Raw genomic sequence first — 20,656 nt, forward strand, 5'->3', positions numbered from 1 at the left:
CAGGACCAGATGCCAGGCTGCCTTGGTTTGAGAGGCAACGAAGGGTTAGAAGAATAGCCTGGCTTGGCAGTGACACGTCGGAGCTGTGCTTTAGAAATAAATGGATCCAGCAGCAGCAGGTGACCTGGTCTGGAGCTGGAGAAGGGACCAGCTGGTGGCGTCTGCACTCACTCAGGGCAGAAGTAGGGAATGTATAACCACAGCTGGCAGCACAGTGGGTAGAGCGTAGACAGCTCCACAGATATTTGTTAAAGTGAGTTAGGTTTCTTATGGGCAGGAATTAGATCTATTTCTTTTTTAAAAAAAAAGACAGAGTGTCACTCTGTCACCCGGGCTGGAGTACAGTGGCGCAATCTCAGCTCACTGCAACCTCCACCTCCCAGGTTCAAGCAATTCTCATGCCTCAGCCTCCCCAGTAGCTGGGATTACAGGCATGTGCCACTACGCCCAGCTAATTTTTGTATTTTTATAGAGACAGGGTTTTGCCATGTTAGCCAGGCTGGTCTCGAACTCCTGATCTCAAGTGATCCAGCCACCCTGGCCTCCCAAAGTGCTGGGATTACAGGTGTAAGTCACTGTGCCCGGCCCATCTAATAATTTATTTCTGTACCCTCTACAGGCTCTGAACACACATAAGGCACTAACTAATGATGCCAGCTCCTCTTGCCCCCTTCTTCTTCCACAAGTGATCCAATCCAAAAAGCACACAGATGAAGCACCAAGATCAAGACAAACCCTCCCTTTTCCTATTTCCAATGAAGAATCCTCTTTCTCCCAAAGCAAACATGAGGAAAGCACAGAAGCTGAACAAACACTCCAGGAAAGGGCTATGGGTCCAAGAAAGAATACCTTATCAGCTTGATATGAAAAAGTAAGATGCTTTCCACCTCTCTGCTCCTATGCAGGAAAAGTCAGCGTAGAAGACTGCTAAAAATCAGCCAGGCACAGTGGCTTACGCCTGTAATCCCAGCACTTTGGGAGGCCGAGGCAGGTGGATCACACGGTCAAGAGATGGAGACCATCCTGGCCAACACGGTGAAAACCTGTCTCTACTAAAAATACAAGAATTAGCCGGGTGTGGTGGCACATGCCTGTAGTCCCAGCTACTCAGGAGGCTGAGGCAGGAGAACTGCTTGAACCTCGGAGGCAGAGATTGCAATAAGCCGAGATCGCACCACTGAACTCCAGCCTGGCGACAGAGTGAGACTCTGTCTCAAAAAAAAGGAGTCCTAAAAATTAACAGAAATGTATACCCACCTAACTAGCACAAAGCAACACCTGCAGAAAAGTGCAATAGAATTAGAGGTTCTCTGAGAACGTGCAAGGATGTCCTCATTCTTCAGGCCACCACACTGAAGTACTTAGGCAGCAAAGGGACGTCATGTTGCCAAAATACTCTAAAATAGGTCAGGGAAAAAACAGTGTGTGTATAAGTGTGCATATATAAATGTGTAGGAGGATAAATGTGTTAGGCGTAAAAGTGTGTGGATACATATTTAGATAAATATAGAGAGAATTATAAAGCAAATGGGATGAAATGCAAACAACTGGTGAATTTTGGTAACGTGTATGTCTTAATCAGCTTGTGCAGCTGCAACAAAATACCTGAGACTAGGTAATTTATAAAGAAGAGAAATTTATTTTCTCACAGTTCCGGAGGCTGGGAAGTCCAAGATCAAGGCACCGGCAGATTCAGTTGTCTGGGGAGAACTGCTTTCTGCCTCCAAGATGGTACCTTTTGATGTGGCATCCTCCAGAGAGGAGCAGCGCTGTGTTCTCACCTGGCAGAAGGTGGAATGGCAAGAGAGCCAAATGCCGCGTAAAGTCTCCTTTATAAGGGCCTTAATGCCATTCACGACAGAGGAGCCTCCACGGCAGAGGAGCCTCCACAGCCTAATCGCCTCTTAAAGGCCCCACCTCCCAACACCATCATACTAGAAACACCTGAATTTTGGAGGGGCCACATTCGAACCACAGCAATACATTCATGCACTGCACGATGACATTTCAGTCAGTGACAGTGGTCTGAACCATATACGACAGTGCTCTTATTACAATGGAGGCCAGGCGCAGTGGCTCACGCCTGTAATCCCGGCACTTTGGGAGGCCAAGGCGGGGCGGGGGGATCACCTGAGGTCAGGAGTTCAAGACTAGCTTGGCCATAGTGAAACCCCGTCTCTACTAAAAATACAAAATTTAGCCAGGTGCAGGGGCAGGCGCCTATAATCCCAGCTACTCAGGAGGCTGAGGTAGGAGAATCACTTGAACCCAGGGGTTGGAGGTTGCAGTGAGCCGAGATCGCTCCACTGCACTCCAGCCTGAGTGACAGAGTGAGGGTCTCAAAAAAAAAAAAGATTACAATGGAGCTCTCACTGCCCCTGAAGAGTTTCCCAAAAGACAAGGACAAGACGTGGAGGTGGACAACAGTGATACTGCTGGCCTGCTCCTGTGTAGGCCTAGGCCAATGAGTATGTCCGTATCTTGGTTTTTAACTAAAAGTTTAAAAAGTTAAAAAAATAAAATAAAATGTTTAAAAGTAGAAAAAAGTGTACAGAAAAAGGATGTAAAGAAGGAGAATACTGGCCAAGCACGGTGGCTCACGCCTGTAATCCCAACACATTGGGAGGCTGAGGCAGGTGGATTACTTGAGATCAGGTGGTCGAGACCAACCTGACCAACATGGTGAAACCCCATCTCTACCAAAAATACAAAAATTAGCTGAGTGTGATGGCATGCACCAGTAGTCCCAGTTACTTGGGACTGAATCCAGGAGACGAAGTTTGCAGTGAGCCAAGATTGCATCACTGCACTCCAGCCTGGGCAACTCTGTCTCAAAAAAAAAAAAAAAAAAAAAAAATGGAAACTATCTTTTGTACAGCTGTGCATTGAGCTTATGTTTTAAACAGGTTACAACAGAGTCAAGTTTTTAAAAAATTAAAGTCTGTGAAGTTAAAAAGCTACAGTAAGCTACTGTTATTATTAAAGAAAAAAAAATTTTTATACATTTAGTGTAGCCTAAGTGTCCAATATTTATAGTCTATTTTAGTGTCCAGAATGTCCTAGGCCTTTACATTCACTCACCACTCACTCACTGACCCACTCACCGCAACTTCCAGTCCTGCAAGCTCCACTCATGGCAAGCACCCTATACGGGTGTAGCACTTTTTCTCTTTCATTCTGTATTTTTGCTGTATCTTTCCTTTGTTTAGATGCACAATTTTTCCATGGACTGGGGTGGGGGGTCGGGGAGGATGGTTTCAGAATGAAGCTGCTCCACCTCAGATCATCAAGCATTAGTTAGATTCTCATAAGGAGCACGCAACCTACATCCCTCGCATGAGCAGTTCACAATAAGAGTTCGCACTCCTATGAGAATCTAATACCACCACTGATCTGACAAAAGGTAGAGTTCAGGCCGTAATGCTCACCCACCTGCCACTCACCTCCAGCTGTGCGGCCCTGTTCCTAACAGGCCATTGACCGGTATCGGTCAGGGGTTGGGGATCCCCTAGGCTATCATCCAGCGTAGGTGTGTTGTAGGGTATACCATCTAGGTTTAGGAAAATACACCCTATGTTGTCTGTACCATGATGCAATTGCCTAACAACACATTTCTCAGAACATATCCCAAGCGTTAAGCAACGCATAACTGTGTATGAAAGTTTTTTACATTATTCTTGCTACTTTTCTGTAAGTCTGAAATTGAAATAATATCAAAACAAATAGTTATAAGAGTAAGGAAGCGTTATACTGATATGATCTTTAAAAATATGCAAAATAAAAAAATGCAAAATGAGATGTATGGAATATCACCATTCATTTCAGAAGTGGAGAGGAAAAGGTACTGATATGTATTTATTTGGATGTTATATCCGTAATGGCAGATAAGAAACTGGTACCATTACTACCTCTTTGTAGAAGGGAACAGGGTAGTTGGAGATGGAGTGGAATGGAGATTTTTCACTATTTACTTTTATATATTTTGAATTTTGAACCTTGTGAACATATTGTGTATTCAAAATATAAATAAAGGAAATAAAATTACTTTGAAAATATGTTCAAGGAAAATAATAAAATAATAGCGCGAGCAGACAGTTTGGAGTGGCTTAGGCCAGAGACACATAAGAAATCAGCTAAAAGCCACCTGGCAGGGTGCTGCCCAGATGTCACCTCATGAGCCACTGTGCTTGGAGAGTTGCCTGTTTAGAAAGGGCGCATTCCAGACAAGTAAAGCTGGGGGCTTGGAAAAACATGTTCTATCAAGTTTCAGCCTAAATTGGACAGAACTTTCACATAAAATAAATTATGTGATTGACTTACAAGCCACAATTCCCCATAGCCCTGTTCCCCCAAGCTGATATTGCTGGTTCTGTGACTGAATCATGTGACACACTGCACATCTGTCCTCCATGTGACTGTCACAACCTGCTAAAGCCCTCAGGAGGATATCCCATTCCTTGGAAGGACAAACCCGAATGTAAACAGCATCCAACCCTCTTCAGTGGCAGCCTCCCTCCCTTGGAGATAACAGCCAACAAGCCATTTGGTGGTGTGTCACTGAAGGAAAGAGATTCTTGGATCTACGCAAGAGCTTTCCAAGATGATCACAGATTATTCCAGCAGCAAGCAATTCTGAATGGACAAATGAACTTTCTCACCAGCCTAGACTCACCACGTTAAACTTCATGGGACTTGAGCAAGCTCTCAGACAACCATAGAGAGGTAAGAAGGTACTACTGTCTGCAGAAGCCAGACTGAGAAGATGGTGAGCTCATCTGGCTTTCCAATTGTCAGAACACCAGGCAAGGGACCCCGCAGCACCCCCACTCTCCCTTAAGGAAACCCACAGTTGCTCTCCCAGCCAAGATCCCGGCTCCATGACCCAGTCTCTAGTGCTTTGGGGAAGGATTTGATTGGGCACACCTGTGCATGTTTGTACCACATGAACTGTAGCCTGAAATGTGATTGATATTTGTATTTGAAAAAGGGTGTGGGACTAGTGAGAAGTCAAGACATGGGATGAGAAAACAGGGTCCTGGCCAGACACGGTGGCTCACGCCTGTACTGCCAGCACTTTGGAAGGCTGAGGCAGGTGGATCACCTGAGGTCAAGAGTTCGAGACCAGCCTGGCCAACATGGTGAAACCCCATCTCTACTAAAATTATAAAAATTAGCCAGGCGTGATGGCGGGTGCCTGGAATCCCAGCTACTTGGGAGGCTGAGGCAGGAGAATTGCTTGAACCCGGGAGGCGGGGGTTGCAGTGAGCCGAGATCATGCCACTGCACTCCAGCCTGGGCTACAGAGCGAGACTCCATCAAAAGAAGAAAGAAAAGAAAAGAAAAGAGCGAAGAGAAGAGAAGGGAGGGGAGGGGAGGGGAGGGGAGGGGGAAAGGAAGAAAGGAAAGAAAAGAGGGTCCTTTTCCCCCAGAACATTAAGATGATGGGATCTATTTATTTGGCAAAGATACCTTGAGCATTGGCTCTGTCAGTCAGTGAGCAAAGCCTGGAAAGACAGAGCTGAGGAGCTCCTAGTCCAGTGGAGGGAGACAAACACCAATCACAAGGGATGGGGAAGGTCCTCACCCCATCTCCCTGGGGTGCTATGAAGGAGACACATTTACACATAAATGACATACTTTAACAAAGATACAGCCAGGCACAGTGGCTCACACCTGTAATCTCAGCACTTTGGGAGGCTGAGGTGGACAAATCACTTGAGCCCAGGAGTTTGAGACCAGCCTGGGCAACACGGTGAAATCGCATCTCTATAAAAAATACCAAAAATTAGCCAGGCATGGCAGTACACGCTGCACGGGGGCATGAGGATCACTTGAGACCAGGAGTTCAAGGTTATGGTGAGCAACGGTCACGCTGCTGCTCTCCAGCCTGGACCAGAAAGCAAGACCCTGTCTCTGAAAAAAAATTAAGACTAAAAAAAAAAACGCTGAGCACGGTGGCTCACGCCTGTAATCTCAGCACTTTGGGAGGCCGAGGAAGACGGATAACAAGGTCAGGAGTTCAAAACCAGACTAGCCAACATGGTGAAACCCCATCTCTACTAAAAATACAAAAATTAGCCAGGTGTGGTGGTGTGCCCCTGTAATCCCACCTACTCAGGAGGCTGAGGCAGGAGAATTGCTTGAACCTGGGAGGCAGAGGTTGCAGTGAGCCAAGATCGAGCTACTGCACTCCAGCCTGGGCAACAGAACAAGACTCCGTCTTAGGAAATAAAAAGAAGAAGAAAACAAAAAAAAAAACAGCTGGATGCAGTGGCTCACGCCTGTAATCCCAGCACTTTGGGAGGTCAAGGCGGCAAATCCCCTGAGGTCAGAAGTTCAAGACCAGCCTGGCCAACATGGTGAAACCCTGTCTCCACTAAAATACAAAAATTAGCTGGGCATGGTGGCGGGCACCTGTAATCCCAGCTACTCAGAGGCTGAGGCAGGAGAATCACTTGAACCCAGGAGACAGAGGTTGCAGTGAGCCAAGATCGCACCATTGCACTCCAGCCTGGGTGACAGAGCGAGACTCCATCTCAAAAAATAAAATAAAATAAATAAAAACAAAGAGGAGTGGTAGCAAAGGAGGACAAGTACACCCTTGGAAAGGCCAGCTTGCTGTCAGAAAGCTGGATTCGGGCCCAGCTCTTCACTGACAGGCAGCATATGACTGGGTCAGCTACTTCACTCCTGAAACTCAGTTTTCTCTGGAAAGAACAACAGCAACCTTCAAAAAGGTGAAGCTGCAAGGGTCTAACACAGCATCCGCCATGCAGTAGACCCTTGGCCAACGAGGCTTTTCCCCTTTGTCAGCTGACATCAGGCCAGCACACAAGTCCTCTGTTAGGGGTTTAACCGGGTCTCCCAGAAAGATATGTTGAAGTCCTTACTTTACATCCCCAGTAGCTTGGAATATGACCTTATCTGGAAACAAGGTCACTGCAGATGTGGTCAAGTTAAGAAGAGGTCACACTGGGGCACAGCAGTCTTTTAATCCAGTATGTTTAGCATCCTCAGGAGGAGGACAAGGAGAGACAGAGACACACAGGGATGATGGAGGCACAAAATGGAGGGAGGCCTCTACAAGTCAAGGAACTCCAAAGCTTTCAGAGAAACCACCAGAAACTAGGAAGAGGCATGGAACTGACGGTCCCACGGAGCCGTCAGAATGAACCTACCTGGCCGACATCTTGATTTTGGACTTCTGGCCTCCAGAATTGTGAGAGGATTCATTTCTGCTGTTGGAAGCTACCAGTTTGTGCTATGTTATAACGGCAGTCCGAGGAAACAGCTACATCCTCCTCCCCTCTACAAAAACCAAATTCTTGACTTGCCTGAGAAAACAGGACACTTTTACAAAGGCAACTAATAAATAACATTTCAGGAAAGGCTATCTTTGCTAACACGCCCTGGCAGCAGAAAGAGAAATGTGGGTGTTTTGTTGGTTCTTTTTTTTTCCCTCTCTCCTCCTCCCTGCCCCTCTCATATTGGACTCGCCACCATTTGGGGTTAATGATTCCCCCAAGGGATAAAGATACAGCGAAAGAAGGACCTTCAGATGCAGTCCAGAAGGTCAGGACCACACATTCCATTACTGCAGAGGCTGGTTCACACCCCACGTACATTGCACCCTCCAGGAGCCCCTTACCAATGCTGCTCAGTTACAACGGTGAAGAACCGGGGTGCTGGATTTTTTTTGTTTTTAAAAACGGAATGGGCTCTCAGCAAGCCACAGGTCAATCAGGATGGAAAGAAGAGAAGGGGGAGAGAGTCAACGCAAAGCAGAAAATCACTTTTCTAGGCATCTACACAACTAGGAGGAAAAAAAGTGACCTTTGGGCCTGATTGACCAAAGTGACCCAAGCTCGACGGCTTTCTTTGGCCTTTCGTATCTACCTGTTGTTCTCTCAAGACAAAACTGGTATTTCTCACTGGAACCCACCAAATCCATGAAGTGGTTTTTGTTTGTTTGTTTGTTTGTTTGTTTGTTTTTTGAGACAGGGTCTCGCTCTGTTGCCCAGGCTGGAGTGCAGTGGCGCGATCTCGGCTCGCTGCAACCTGCACCTCCCAGGTTCAAGCGATTCTCCTGCCGCAGCCTCCAGAGTAGCTGGGATTACAGGCATCTACCACCACGCCTGGCTAATTTTTGTATTTTTAGTAGAGACGGAGTTTCACCATGTTGGCCAGGCTGGTCTCGAACTCCTGACCTCAGGTGATCTGTCCACCTCGGCCTCCCAAAGTGCTGGGATTACAGGCGTGAGCACTGCGCCCAGCCTTGTAAAGTGGTTTTTACCAACAACAAAGAAGCCACTTGCTTGGAAATGTGGGACCAACGGGCTGAATGCCCCATCCGCAGCCACCTGGGAATTTAATCAGGGTAAGACTAAGAGCAGGCACTGCCTTGTCCATCCTATTTATTCTCCCCCAGGTTTCACTTAGCTGTTTTGAGAGCTGGGGGAAAGTTCCAGTGTCAAGGAATTCAACTGGCAGAATTAATGACTCAATAGCTTCAGTTCTAATAAGGTTACCAAACCAGTCCGCCAAGTAACATATCTTAAAGAAAAAAAAAGGTAAAAGGAGAAATACCAGAGAGGACATTTTAGGGGCCCACAAACACTGTCAGGAAGGAAGCAATTTTATTATTTGTTTTTTATTTATCTTTTGAGACAGGGTCTCGCTCTGTCGCCCAGGCAGGAGTGCAGTGAGGTAATCTAGGCTCACGGCAGCCTCGAACTCCTGGGCTCACGCAATTATCCCGGCCTCAGCCTCCCAAGTGGCTGGGATTACAGGTGTAAGCCACCGCACCCAGCCTGGAAGCAATTTTAAGAGAGGGCTGACTTCCATGTCCATTACTACCACAACCACCACCATCACCTACCACTTCCTACCACCCTCCCCCAAATCTGGGTCAGCACCAAGCATGAGGAAAATGGAACTAAGGACAGGATTTCAGCTAGGAAAAAAAGGAGATCACGAAGCCTAGATAATGAGTCAGGTGAGAGGAGTTTCTGCTCCATTCAGGACGCTGCCTTAAGATGTATTATGCCTAGATCATCCGTCTTGAGTTTCCTGGTTCACTCCGGATTGCACCCTTTAAAGCATTTCGTAGTTTCCCTTTACAATCAGATCCTAATGATTCAAGGATTGCTAATCCAGGTGGCTGTACTCTCCAATTTTGGTTGCCAGCCATTTCTCTGCTTAGGAGCATCTCATCAAAGGGAGAGCAAAGGAAGTTTAAAGAAAGCCAATCAGTCAAGCAAGGCACCCTCACATTCCAAGCTCTTACTTGAGTTAGGATGATGAAATTGACTTGGCAGGGGCCAAATCAAAAATAGAGGAAAAAAAAGGATGGGCGCAGTGGCTCACGCCTGCTGTGAGAGCCACACCCTGGGCTCTGATGTATGTTGCAGTGACATGGCTAAATGTACCAAGGTCAAAATTGTCCATAATCCGCTATTGTGTCTCCCTTAGGAAAATGGTGAAGAAGGCTGGGTGCGGTGGTTCACGCCTGTAATCCCAGCACTTTGGGAGGCTGCGGCGGGTGGGTCGTTTGAGATCAGGAGTTCAAGACCAGCTTGGCCAACACAGCAAAACCCCGTCTCTACTAAAAATAAAAAAAATAGCCAGGTGTGGTGGTGCGTGCCCGTAATCCCAGCTACTCAGGAGGCTGAGGCACAAGAATCACTTGAACCCGGGAGGTGGAGGTTGCAGTGAGCCGAGATTGTGCCACTGCACTCCAGCCTGGCCAACAGAGTAAACTGAGGAAAGAAAAGAAAAAGAAGAGAAGAGAAGAGGAGAAAGAGAGAGGAAGGAAAGAAGGAAGGAAGGAAGGGAGGGAGGAAGGGAGGGAGGGAGGGAGGGAAAGAGAGAAAGAGAAAGAGAAAAAAAGAGAAAGAGAAAGGAAGGAAAGAAGGAAGGAAGGAAGGGAGGGAAGGAGGGAAAGAAGAGAGAAAGAGAAAGAGAGGAGGGGAGGGGAGGGGAGGGGAGGGACCTGAAATCAGCACTCCAAAATACACTTGCTTTTTCTCTGACAAAACCAAAACGGCAGGCTGTAGGGATCCAGCACTGTGCATCCTGCATGAAAACAGTGGCTGACAGTGTCAGGACCCACAATACCTCTTCATCATCACAGTAAAGTCCGCCCTCAGAAGACTGGAGAGGTTGAAAGACCAGGAGAAACACCACCATTTGAGACATCACTAGCCTAAAATAAATAGGTTAATTTATGTTTAAAAAAAAAAAGTGAGGACCAGACTATGACCCCTTCCACGTCCAAAATTCTAAGCACGATTTGATAGACTAACTATCCTAGGTATTCCAATGGAAGAGTTGGGATCAGCCCATCCACTTTCCCAGAGCAGATCTCTAATGCTTATATGGTATCATTCACAAAGGGATAAAAGAGTAACTGTCCCTCCTGCCAATCCCTGCCCAACCTTACAGTGAACAAGAGCCTGAATCTTCCAGATGAAGCATGAGCGCTCTCCAAGTTAAGCATGGGCGTGCAAAGGGCTGGCATGCTGTCTGTCTTGACTTGCTGAGGACTGACAGGTTCCTGCTTGCTGGCATATGTGTTACAAGGCAACCCAGGCCTACAATGAACAACAGCCTGAGAGGGGTTGCCTTTGCAGGTAAAAGGGAGATCTGATTTAATCTTCACAGAGATGCAAGGGTGCATCCAGAAGAGGGGGCATGGCCGCTGAGAAGTGAGGAATCCAACCCTTTGGGGTAATTCATTCCCCGATACTTTTCAAGGATGGGCTGCCACTATGTCAAAAAGAAGGTACAACAAGTTCGCTACCTGGCAATTTCAGAAGCCACCTTGAGGGCAATGCACCCCTCCTCCAAGTTCAAGAATGCCACTGTAAGAAGCAGAAGCAATATGGGGAGCTGGGATCTAGGTCGCTCCTCTGTTAGATCTGAAAAGACTAAAACATGAAAACTTCCAAAGCTGGTAAAGCTCCTACTTCCCAGTTAGCTCAACCCAGTGGAACCAAGGGTAGTTCTCCAGGTCAATGTCTCTGACTGCACCAGGGGCTGATGACTTCTGCAGTGGAGGGGGAAATGCAGAACTCAGTTTGGTTTTTTCTACGTTCAGATCCCAAGTCATCCCTTTCTTCTTTGGATGTTAAAGTAGTATTCATCGGCCTGCATTTTTTCAGGATCTCATGCTTGCTAATAACCACTGTTACTAAAAAAAAGAAAAAACTTCTAGAGAAACCTGACCCTTCTCCCAGAAGCTAAGAACTTGACAGCTATGGTCTCCTCCACATAATAGATACTCCTGCCCTGATACTGCAAGACAGAAATGACCACTTTTAAAGAAATTAGCAAGTACCTTCAACAAATTTGTTATTAGCCTCTGACAGTCCCGCACTGGAGACCTCAGAAACACCAAAAATAAAAAGATACAATCCCTGTCATAAAGGGACTTAGGACACAGAATGAGTGAGGACCCCATGGGCCTAAAGCAGCATCCCATGGTGTGTAGCTAAGAACAAACCAGATTCAATCACAACTCAGCCACTGATTGGCCGGGCGACCACAAGGCCAAGCAAGCTACTTAACCCTCAGTTTCCTCACCTACAAGATAGAGATCGTGAATCCACCTCACAGTGTTGACATAGGATTCAATGATATAACTCATGCAAAAAAGCTTAGCTCTCTACAGGAGATATTATCATCAGCATGAATAATTAGATTCTAAGACCAAGAAGTATAAATGTTAAAAGATATGAAAGGTCAAGGAAATTTTAAAACTAGAAGACCTGGAAACTGGATAAACAAAGAGCAAAGAGAGATCAAGAAAAAAAAAAGTAAATGTATTCTTCTTAAGCCAAGCTCACTGGTGTCATTCACAAACACAGGGAATTCTTGACCAAAAAGATGACTAAGATAACTACTTCAACCAGCACACTCTGGAGCCCATGGAATTGGAAGAGCACTCATTGAGTGTAGACATTGCAGAGAATTGTGGGGGAAAAAATCAGTGGATCAGCATTACCGTCTTAGATGTTTAAAGCCTCTGAAGTTTTCTTAGATGGAAAGATCATCAAAGGTTACTATTCCAGCTCATTTTAAAAGCTGATGCCAGGCCGGGCACGGCATCAGATTTTTTTTGTAATCCTAGCAGTTTGGGAGGCTGAAGCGGGCGGATCACCTGAGGTCGGGAGTTCGAGACGAGCATGGCCAACACAGTGAATGAAACCCCGTCTCTACTAAAATTACAAAAATTAGCCGGACGTGGTGGCGGGTGCCTGTAGTCCCAGCTACTTGGGAGGCTGAGGCAGGAAAAATGCTTGAACCCAGGAGGCGGAGGTTGCACTGAGCCAAGATCTTGGGCCACTGCACTCCAGCCTGGGCGACACGGTGAGACTCTGCCTCAAAAAAAAAAAAAAAAAAAAAGGCTGATGCGCACAACAGGAAACGACCAACTTGCTCAAGGTCCCACAGCTTGCTGGAGACAAAGCTCTGATTACAACCCAGGCACTGATGGCTGCCCTCATAGTTTTCTGCCCAGCACGACTCCTCTTCACAGCAGGAAATCAGCCACCTACACAGGCTCCCTCCCCATTTCCATCTCTCTTCCCATCCCTAATAGCACTCTCTCTAAACTCACGCACTCTCACACACGTACACACACACACACACACACATATGCATCTGCATCTTTTTCCTCCCTTCCATATCTTTTTTTAAGGTATAAGAAATACATATACCATAACATCTATCATCTTAACCCTTCTTAAGTGTACAGTTCAGTGTTATTAAGTACATTCACATTATTGTGCAACTATCACCAACATCCATCTTCCGAACTCTTTCCATCTTGCTAAACTGAAAGTCTATACCCGTCCAACACAAACTCCCTTGAATTTCACTACTCTAGGTCCCTCATACAAGTGGAATCACATAGTATTTCTCTTTCTGTGTCTGGCTAATTTTACTTAACGTAATGTCTTCAAGATTCATCCATGTTGTAGCATGTGTCAGAATTTCCTTCCTTTTTGGCCAGGCACAGTGGCTCATGCCTGTAATCCCAGCACTTTGGGAGGCTGAGGCAGTTGAATCACTCAAGGTCAGGAGTTCAAGACCAGCCTGGGCAACATGGTGAAACCCCATCTCTATTAAAAATACAGAACTTAGCCAGGCATGGTGGCGCAAGCCTGTAATCCTAGCTACCTGGGTGGTTGAGGCAGGAGAATCACTTTAACCGGGAGGCAGAGGTTGCAGTGAGCCGAGATCGTGCCACTATACTCCAGCCTGGGCGACAGAGGGAGACCCTGTCTCAAACAAACAAACAAAAAACTCCCTTCTTAAGGCTAAATCATATTCCACTGTACGTATACACATTTTGTTGACCCACTCAATCAACAGACACTTGGGTTGCTTCCTCTTTTGGCTATTGTGAATAATGCTGTTATGTGCGTGGGTATGCAAATATCTCTCTAAGTGTCTGCTTTCAATTCTTTTGGGTAGAGACCCAGAAGTGAAATTGCTAGATCATATGGTAATTCTATTTTTAATTTTTTGAGGTGCATGCACCTTTTTAATTTTTTTTTTTTTTTTTTTTTTTTTTTTTTTTTTTTTTTTTTTTGAGACAGAGTCTTTCTCTGTCGCCCAGGATGGAGTGCAGTGCAAGGATCTCAGCTCATGAAACCTCTGCCTCCTGGGTTCAAGCAATTCTCTTGCCTCAGCCTCCTGAGTAGCTGGGATTACAGGCACCTGCCACCATGCCCCGCTAATTTTTTTGTATTCTTAGTAGAGATGGGGTTTCACCATGTTGGCCAGGCTGGTCTTGAACTCCTGACCTCAAGTGATCTGCCCACCTCAGCCTCTCAAAGTGCTGGGATTACAGGTGTGAGCCTGTAAAAGGGACCATGTCTGGTCCCTTTTAAAATTATATCACACTTCTCCATAACTACAACTAATAGCAAAATATGTTTTCTTTTTTATTCAACTAATGTTTATTCAGCACCAATTATATGGTAGGCCTTGGGCTATGTACCTGGGATACGATCAATCATGACCTAAAGTCATGGTCCCCGTCCTCTTGGGACTCACAGTCTAGCAGGAGGGACAGACAGGAATCAGATCACAGGCAGCTATCTGGAGCAGACAGACAACAGTGAAACTGACGCAGGCAGCAGTAACTCTGCCATCAATCATATTATGGGAAGGTGTTTTAGGGTGGTAGCCCAGGGGTGGGTGTGTGCTGTGGGTTGAATTGAGTGCCTTAAAAGATATGCTGAAGTCCTACCTGTCCTACCTCCCAGAACCTGTGACTGTGACCCAACTGGAAATAGGGTCTTCGTAGACATAATCAAGTTAAGATGAAGTCATACTGGCTTAAGGTGGGCCCTATTCTAATGACCAATGTCCTAATAAAAAGAGGGAGACTTGGACACAGACAGACATGGGGAAGGAGGACATGGAAGACACAGACAGGGACAGGAAGGACGCAGCTGCACACTGAGGAAGCCACCAGAAGCTGGAAGAGGGAAGGACAGGTTCTTCCTTAGAGCCTTCAGAGTGAACGTGGCCCTGCTCACACCTCAGTCGTGGACTTCGAGCCTCCTGAACTGTGGGAGACTACATTTGCATTGCTTGACGCTTCCCCTCCATGGTACTCTGTTAGCACAGCCCTAGGAAACCCTACAGGGTGGAACGTAGTCCTAGGTTGGATTCTTTTCTACCTTTCCTTGGAGTGGGGAGGAGAGAGATAGAGAAATAAAGAACTAGGTTTTCATATTGAAATTTCTTTTTTTTTTTTTTTTTTGAGACAGAATTTGGCTCTTGTTGCCCAGGATGGAGTGCAATGGCACAATCTCGGCTCACTGCAACCTCCGCCTCCCGGGTTCAAGCGATTCTCCTGCCTCAGCCTCCTAAGTAGCTGGGATTACAGGCATAAGCCACCACCACACCCAGCTAATTTTGTATTTTCAGTAGAGATGGGGTTTCTCCATGTTGCCAGGCTGGTCTCAAACTCCTGACCTCAGGTGATCTGCCCGCCTCTGCTTCCCAAAGTGCTAGGATTACAGGCATAAACCACCGCGCCCAGACTCATCTTGAAATTTCTAACCAACTTTCGATCCTGGCCTGTGGACCTGGGTCTCAGCTTCTGACTCTGTAGGGTGAGTGTGCCCTTAGACTATATCCGAGATCCTAGCGTTGAAGTGGTCCTAAGGTTCCCACGGAGTCTTTTTCAAGCTAGCCCACAGGGCAGTTCCTGATCACCCCCATGGGAGACCTATGCGCACACTATTGGTATTAAGATATGACTTGCTGCAGGACATTTAGCAAACTGGGCTGTGCTACGAACTCACCTGCCCCTCCCCCATGCCTTGTCATGAACAAAAATGCCTCCACCCCCATGTCTAGAGAAGCCAGCAAGAGGTGAGACCCCCTGGAGGGAATGAGTCTTAAAGCTGGGTCATAGAGCAGGCCACTGATTTTCCATGAGATCTATGTTTGAATACATTTGGAGTATCTGCGTGCCTCCGTGGTGGAGATTATGGGGTATGGAGGGCACCCTGCACAACGGTTCTTCAGGACTACCCGACAAACCCTACCTGCTGAGACTGGGAGGTCACCCCAGGGAGACTCACCCATTTAGGGAACCACTACTACAGCTGGGAGTGTCTCACCCTGTTGGATGGATCAGGCATGGCATGGGGAAGCCTCCTGAATATGACATGGAAAAAGGAAGCAGACATCCCCCGGCAGAGGTGCAAACCCAGCTCTCCTGGAGTCCTGCAAAGCCCCCAGGACCCACTCAAGGGCCATGTGAGCACCAAGTCACCTGCCTGGCACAGGCGCCACTTCCCACCCGCTCCTCGGGCACCCAACTGTTCCAGCACTCATCACTGCACCTCCTCCGCCACTGTCAACACAAACACCCACACCCAGGCAGGAAGTAAAAATAACCAGCCGTTTCATAGCATGTCTCATGCCTCATCTCCTTCCCGAGGCACGCCTCTCTCAGTCCCCTGCAGGCATCAAGGACCCACAGAGAGGAGAGAGAGGCAGGGAGTTAAGACAGTTCCAATGCCCTGTGCTTTGTCTACACTGTCAGACAGAGATCATCTCTAAAAGGGATAAAAGTCAGAGGCCCTTCCCTTGCAACAAAGACGGGGCTGCATGTTTCTCTCTCAGGGGCGCCCCCTACCTGGAAGGACAGTTCTTTCTACCAGTAAATTCCACGTGCCTGGAGAGCCGCAGAACTTCAGGGATGAGTCAGCCAATTACCGCTGGGCCCCTCCCCACCACGAGAGTGTGTTTATCTATCTCAGGCAGAGGTACTAGTGCCCAGGCAGAAAAGACATGAAAATCACAACCCCAGACCAGAACTAGCATCTTTTATGAGGCACAGCCATCAAAGGACCTCCTGACAGCAAAGCCTGGTGCTATGGTTCTGAAGTGCATCCCCCAAAAAGATATGCTGAAGTCCTAACCCGGGGTACCCGTAAATGTAACTGCATCAGTTTGCTAGGCTTGCCATAACAAAATACCAGAGTCTAGGTGGTTTGAACAACAGCAACTTATTATCTTACAGTTCTGGAGACTGGAGTCCGCGACCAAAGGGCCAGCAGGGTGGTTTCTCCTGAGGCCTCTCCTCGGCTGGCAGATGGCTGCCTTCTTTCTCGCTGTGTCCTCACACAGCCTCTCCTCTGTGCGTGCACATCCCTGGTGCCTCTATGACCAAATTTCCTCTACTCATAAGGACAACGGTCAGATGGATTAGAGCCCACCCTAAGGACCTCATTTGCACTTCATCATCTCTTTAGAAGTCCTGTCTCCAAATACAATCACATTCTGGCGTAATGAGGGTTCGGGATTCAACATATGAAGTTTCAACATAGGAAGTTTTGGGGGAACACATTTCAGCCCATAACAGACCTCATTTGAAAACTGTTGGGCTCACACCTGTAATCCCAGCACTTTGGGAGGCCAAGGCGGATGGATTGCCTGAGGTCAGGAGTTTGAGACCAGTCTGGCCAACAAGATGAAACCTCGTCTCTACTAAAAATACAAAAAATTAGCCGGGCGTGGTGACAAGCACCTGTAATCCCAGCTACTCAGGAGGCTGAGACGGGAGAATTGCTTGAACCCAGGAGGCGGAGGTTGCAGTGAGTTGAGATCATGCCACTACACTCCAGCCTGGGCTACAAGAGTGAAACTCCATCTCAAAAAAAAAAAAACAAAAAAAACTGTTTACTTTTTATGATCATGTCTTGCAGATGTAATTCATTAAGATGAGGACATATTGGAGTAGGGTGGTCCCTGAGTTCCTATGACTGGTGTCTTTGCAAGAAGAAAAAAGACACAAAGATACACACAGTGAAGGTAACCATTTGAAAGCAGAGACACATAGGACAACGCCATGTGGCAACAGAAGAGAGACAAGTCAAAGAATGCCATAGGTTGCTGGGAAGCACCATAAGTTAGGAAAAGGCAAAGAAGGATTCTACACAGCATCACAGGAGGAACCAATGCCGCGGGCACCCTGAGTCTGGGCTTGTGCCCTGCAGAACAACGAGAGAATAAACTTGTGTTGTTCTAAGTCACCCTGTTGGTGGCACTTTGTTAGGGCAACCCTAGGACACTCAGCCCTAGGAAACCAGGGTGAGCAGTTGGCTGGGCACTAAAGGTTCAGACCTCTTGAGGCCGCTTAGCCATACATAGAAAGCCTCCGTCAACACTATTTCCTTCTAATAAAATTCAATAATTGACTTGCAATACAGCCTAGCAGAGGAATTCTTAGTGCGGACTCTGTGGCCAGACTGCCTGGGTTCAGAACCTTGGTCTGTCCCTTACCAGACATCTGACCTTGGCCAAGACACACCCCCAGGGCCTCAGTTTTCCTCATCTGTAAAAAGGGCATGATAATAATAGTATCTAGCTCATCCTGCTAGGAAAATCACATGAGGCAATACTTACGCAGCAATCAATGCCTGGCACCGAGTCCAAGCTATGCATGGGTTTGATAAGTCCTGACAAAGAGTTATGTCACCGACGTATGCTTCTCTCAGTTGTATGTGAAATCCCGAAGAATCCTGGGTCGGGCCTCCCCGATCCTGGACTGATCATGTGTAACCTTAAAATTCACCAAAGTTCCAGGAAGGCACTTTGCAGAAAGGGAAAATGTAATAATACAAAGGAAACATTCCTAAATGATTAAAATGTCCCAAACTTACACCTCGTTGCTAGGGCAAGGGAAAAATATTATAACAACAAAATTTAATTTGAGAATCTATTTGAAAAATCAGCTGGAAGTGACAGGCAGAAATAGACAAGAGAGACACCATCTCAGCCATGGGCACGAAGGAGAGTGGCAGGTTAGGGTCAAGTGGCAAACCACAGCCCGTGGCAAACTCCTGGGTATGTCACACACAAAAACGTTGACAAGACATTTACCTAAGCTGCCTGGGATGCACTGAATTTCCTTATCCTACTGCAATTTATTTTATTTGTTTATTTTATTTTTTGAGATAGGGTCTCACTCTGTTGCCCAGGCTGGAGTACAGTGGTACAATCTTGGCTCACTGCAGCCTTGACCTCCTAGGTTGAAGCGATCCTCCCACCTCAGCCTCCCAAGTAGCTGGGACTACAGGCACATATCACCATGCCCAGCTAATTTTTTTTCACTTTTTGTAGAGGTGGGGCCTCCCCTGTGTTGCCCAGGCTGGTCTCAAACTCCTGGGCTCAAGTCATCCACCCGCCTCGGCCTCCCAAAGTGCTGGAATTACAGGTATGAGCCATCTCATCTGGCCACAATTTTATTTTTACTGTTGTCACAACAGCACTATATAAATCAATGAATGGCCTGTGACCCAGTTTGAAAACTACGGACACAGCCCTCTGCAAAATCCTTCCTACTTCATTTTTTCAGAATATTTAACTCCAGGGACTAAATTCTGAGGAAAACTCCCGGGACCTTCTTTTCTTTTCCAGAGTCAAAGACAGTCCTGTCTTTTTCTTTTTTCTTTTCTTTTTTTTTTTTTTTTTTGAGACAGGGTCTCACTCTGTCACCCAGACTAAAGTGCAGTGGCGTGATCTTGGCTCACCGCAACCTCCACCTCCCAGGCTCAAGCAATCCTCCCGCCTCAGACTCCCAAGTAGCTGGGACAACCGTTGCAAGCCACCATGCCTAGTTAGGTGTTTTTTTGTTTGTTTGTTTGTTTGTTTTGTATTTTTGGTAGAGACGGGATTTCACCATGTTGCCCAGACTGGTCTCAGACTCCTGAGCTCAAGTGATCCTCCTACCTCAGCCTCCCAAAGTGCTGTGATTACAGGCACGACACACGGCACCCAGCCAAAGACAGTCTTTTCTAACCATAGGGAAAACTATAATGTTCTAAAATAAACAATATGAGACTGGACACTAAAGACTATGAGGAAACAGGCTTCCAGAGGGCTAACTGCTCTATGCTAAAAATTCAGTGAAGTTTAACATTTACTCTTTTTTAACATAATTCTTAACTTCTAAAGCAATGCTATTTATTTTGTTTAATAAACATTTTCACACATGCCATATATATATGTTCCATACATATACACGTACCATGTTCCAGACACTATTTTAAACCCTTCACAAATATTAACTCATTTAATCCTCACAATGACCCTATGAAATAGGTAAACTATATGACACCATTTTACAGGTGGGGAAACTGAGGCCCAGAGAAGCTACCTGCCCAAAGTTAAGAGCTGGGATTCCAGTCCACTAGTCTGTGCTGCTCTAATTGATTTCTTCATCAATTTTCTCACTATCTCAGGTGCCCCTGTTCGCTATTAAGCGAACTTCCTCTTGAGTTTCAATGCTACCATGTTGTGAAATGCAAACTCTTAAACAAACAGCCCTGCCATTCAGGAGGGTGACCCACAAGCTCTCACCCTTTCAGCAGTCATCATCCCTTCCATGTTCTTTAGCAGTAGAATCAGACTGTCAAAATTAGCTCCTTAGAAACCAGAATATACCTATATTGAAAGAGCTAACTTCTGGATCTGTTTTAATGGAAACTCTTGTACAGATACCATGCCCTTCAGTTGTTTTCTTTAGGGTCAATCTAGACCTACTTGTAAAAATAAGGTTCTGGAGCCAGATGCAGTGACTCATGCCTGTAATTCCAGCACTTTGGGAAGCCGAGGCGGGTGGATCACCTGAGGTCAGGAGTTCAAGACCAGCCTGGCCAACATAGCGAAACCCCATCTCTACTAAAAATACAAAATTAGCCGGGCATGGTGGCATATGCCTGTAATCCCAGCTACTCCGGAGGCTCAGGCAGGAGAATCACTTGAACCTGGGAGGCAGAGGATGTAGTGAGCCGAGATGGTGCCATCGCACTCCAGCCTGAGCAACAAGAGCGAAACTCCATCTCAAAAAAATAATAATAATAAGGTTCTGGCACATCCCCCAAAGGCCTGCGACAGAGGGACATTTCTGGAAGGAAAATTCCCTTGTATTTCAAAAGCGGCTCTGACCCCATCCTCCTGCCTCATCCCACCCTCAATTGTATTTCATGATCTAAGAGGTGAAATTAAGAACAGACTCCCTGACTTGTAGAATCAAAGATGTTTGCCCCCACACATAATGCAAACCCAAGATTAAAGAAAGTAAAAACCGTTTAAGACCAAAAAGGCAATTATCCAACCA

At 46.5% G+C, this 20,656-nt stretch overlaps 1 protein-coding gene across 7 annotated transcripts in view, besides 3 other annotated features; it reads right to left on the minus strand.

The window, feature by feature from the left end:
- The window catches only part of TIAM1 (TIAM Rac1 associated GEF 1), a 440,670-nt gene that overhangs the window by 375,209 nt on the left and 44,805 nt on the right, over positions 1-20,656 (minus strand). The gene's annotated exons all lie outside the window — the stretch shown is intronic.
- Positions 1,650-2,151: an enhancer, noted in NCBI's record as "H3K27ac hESC enhancer chr21:32867589-32868090 (GRCh37/hg19 assembly coordinates)". NCBI's record gives its function as "activates a minimal SCP1, AML or CMV promoter by ChIP-STARR-seq in naive H9 embryonic stem cells {active_cell/tissue: H9 hESC(naive)}" and the evidence as "EXISTENCE:reporter gene assay evidence [ECO:0000049][PMID:30033119]".
- Positions 2,152-2,651: an enhancer, noted in NCBI's record as "H3K27ac hESC enhancer chr21:32868091-32868590 (GRCh37/hg19 assembly coordinates)". NCBI's record gives its function as "activates a minimal SCP1, AML or CMV promoter by ChIP-STARR-seq in naive H9 embryonic stem cells {active_cell/tissue: H9 hESC(naive)}" and the evidence as "EXISTENCE:reporter gene assay evidence [ECO:0000049][PMID:30033119]".
- Positions 16,175-16,234: a silencer, noted in NCBI's record as "silent region_13239". NCBI's record gives its function as "represses an Ori minimal core promoter by ATAC-STARR-seq in GM12878 lymphoblastoid cells {active_cell/tissue: GM12878}" and the evidence as "EXISTENCE:reporter gene assay evidence [ECO:0000049][PMID:35858748]".

The sequence above is a fragment of the Homo sapiens genome, chromosome 21, assembly GCF_000001405.40.
Source record: "Homo sapiens chromosome 21, GRCh38.p14 Primary Assembly".
Lineage (NCBI taxonomy): Eukaryota > Metazoa > Chordata > Mammalia > Primates > Hominidae > Homo > Homo sapiens.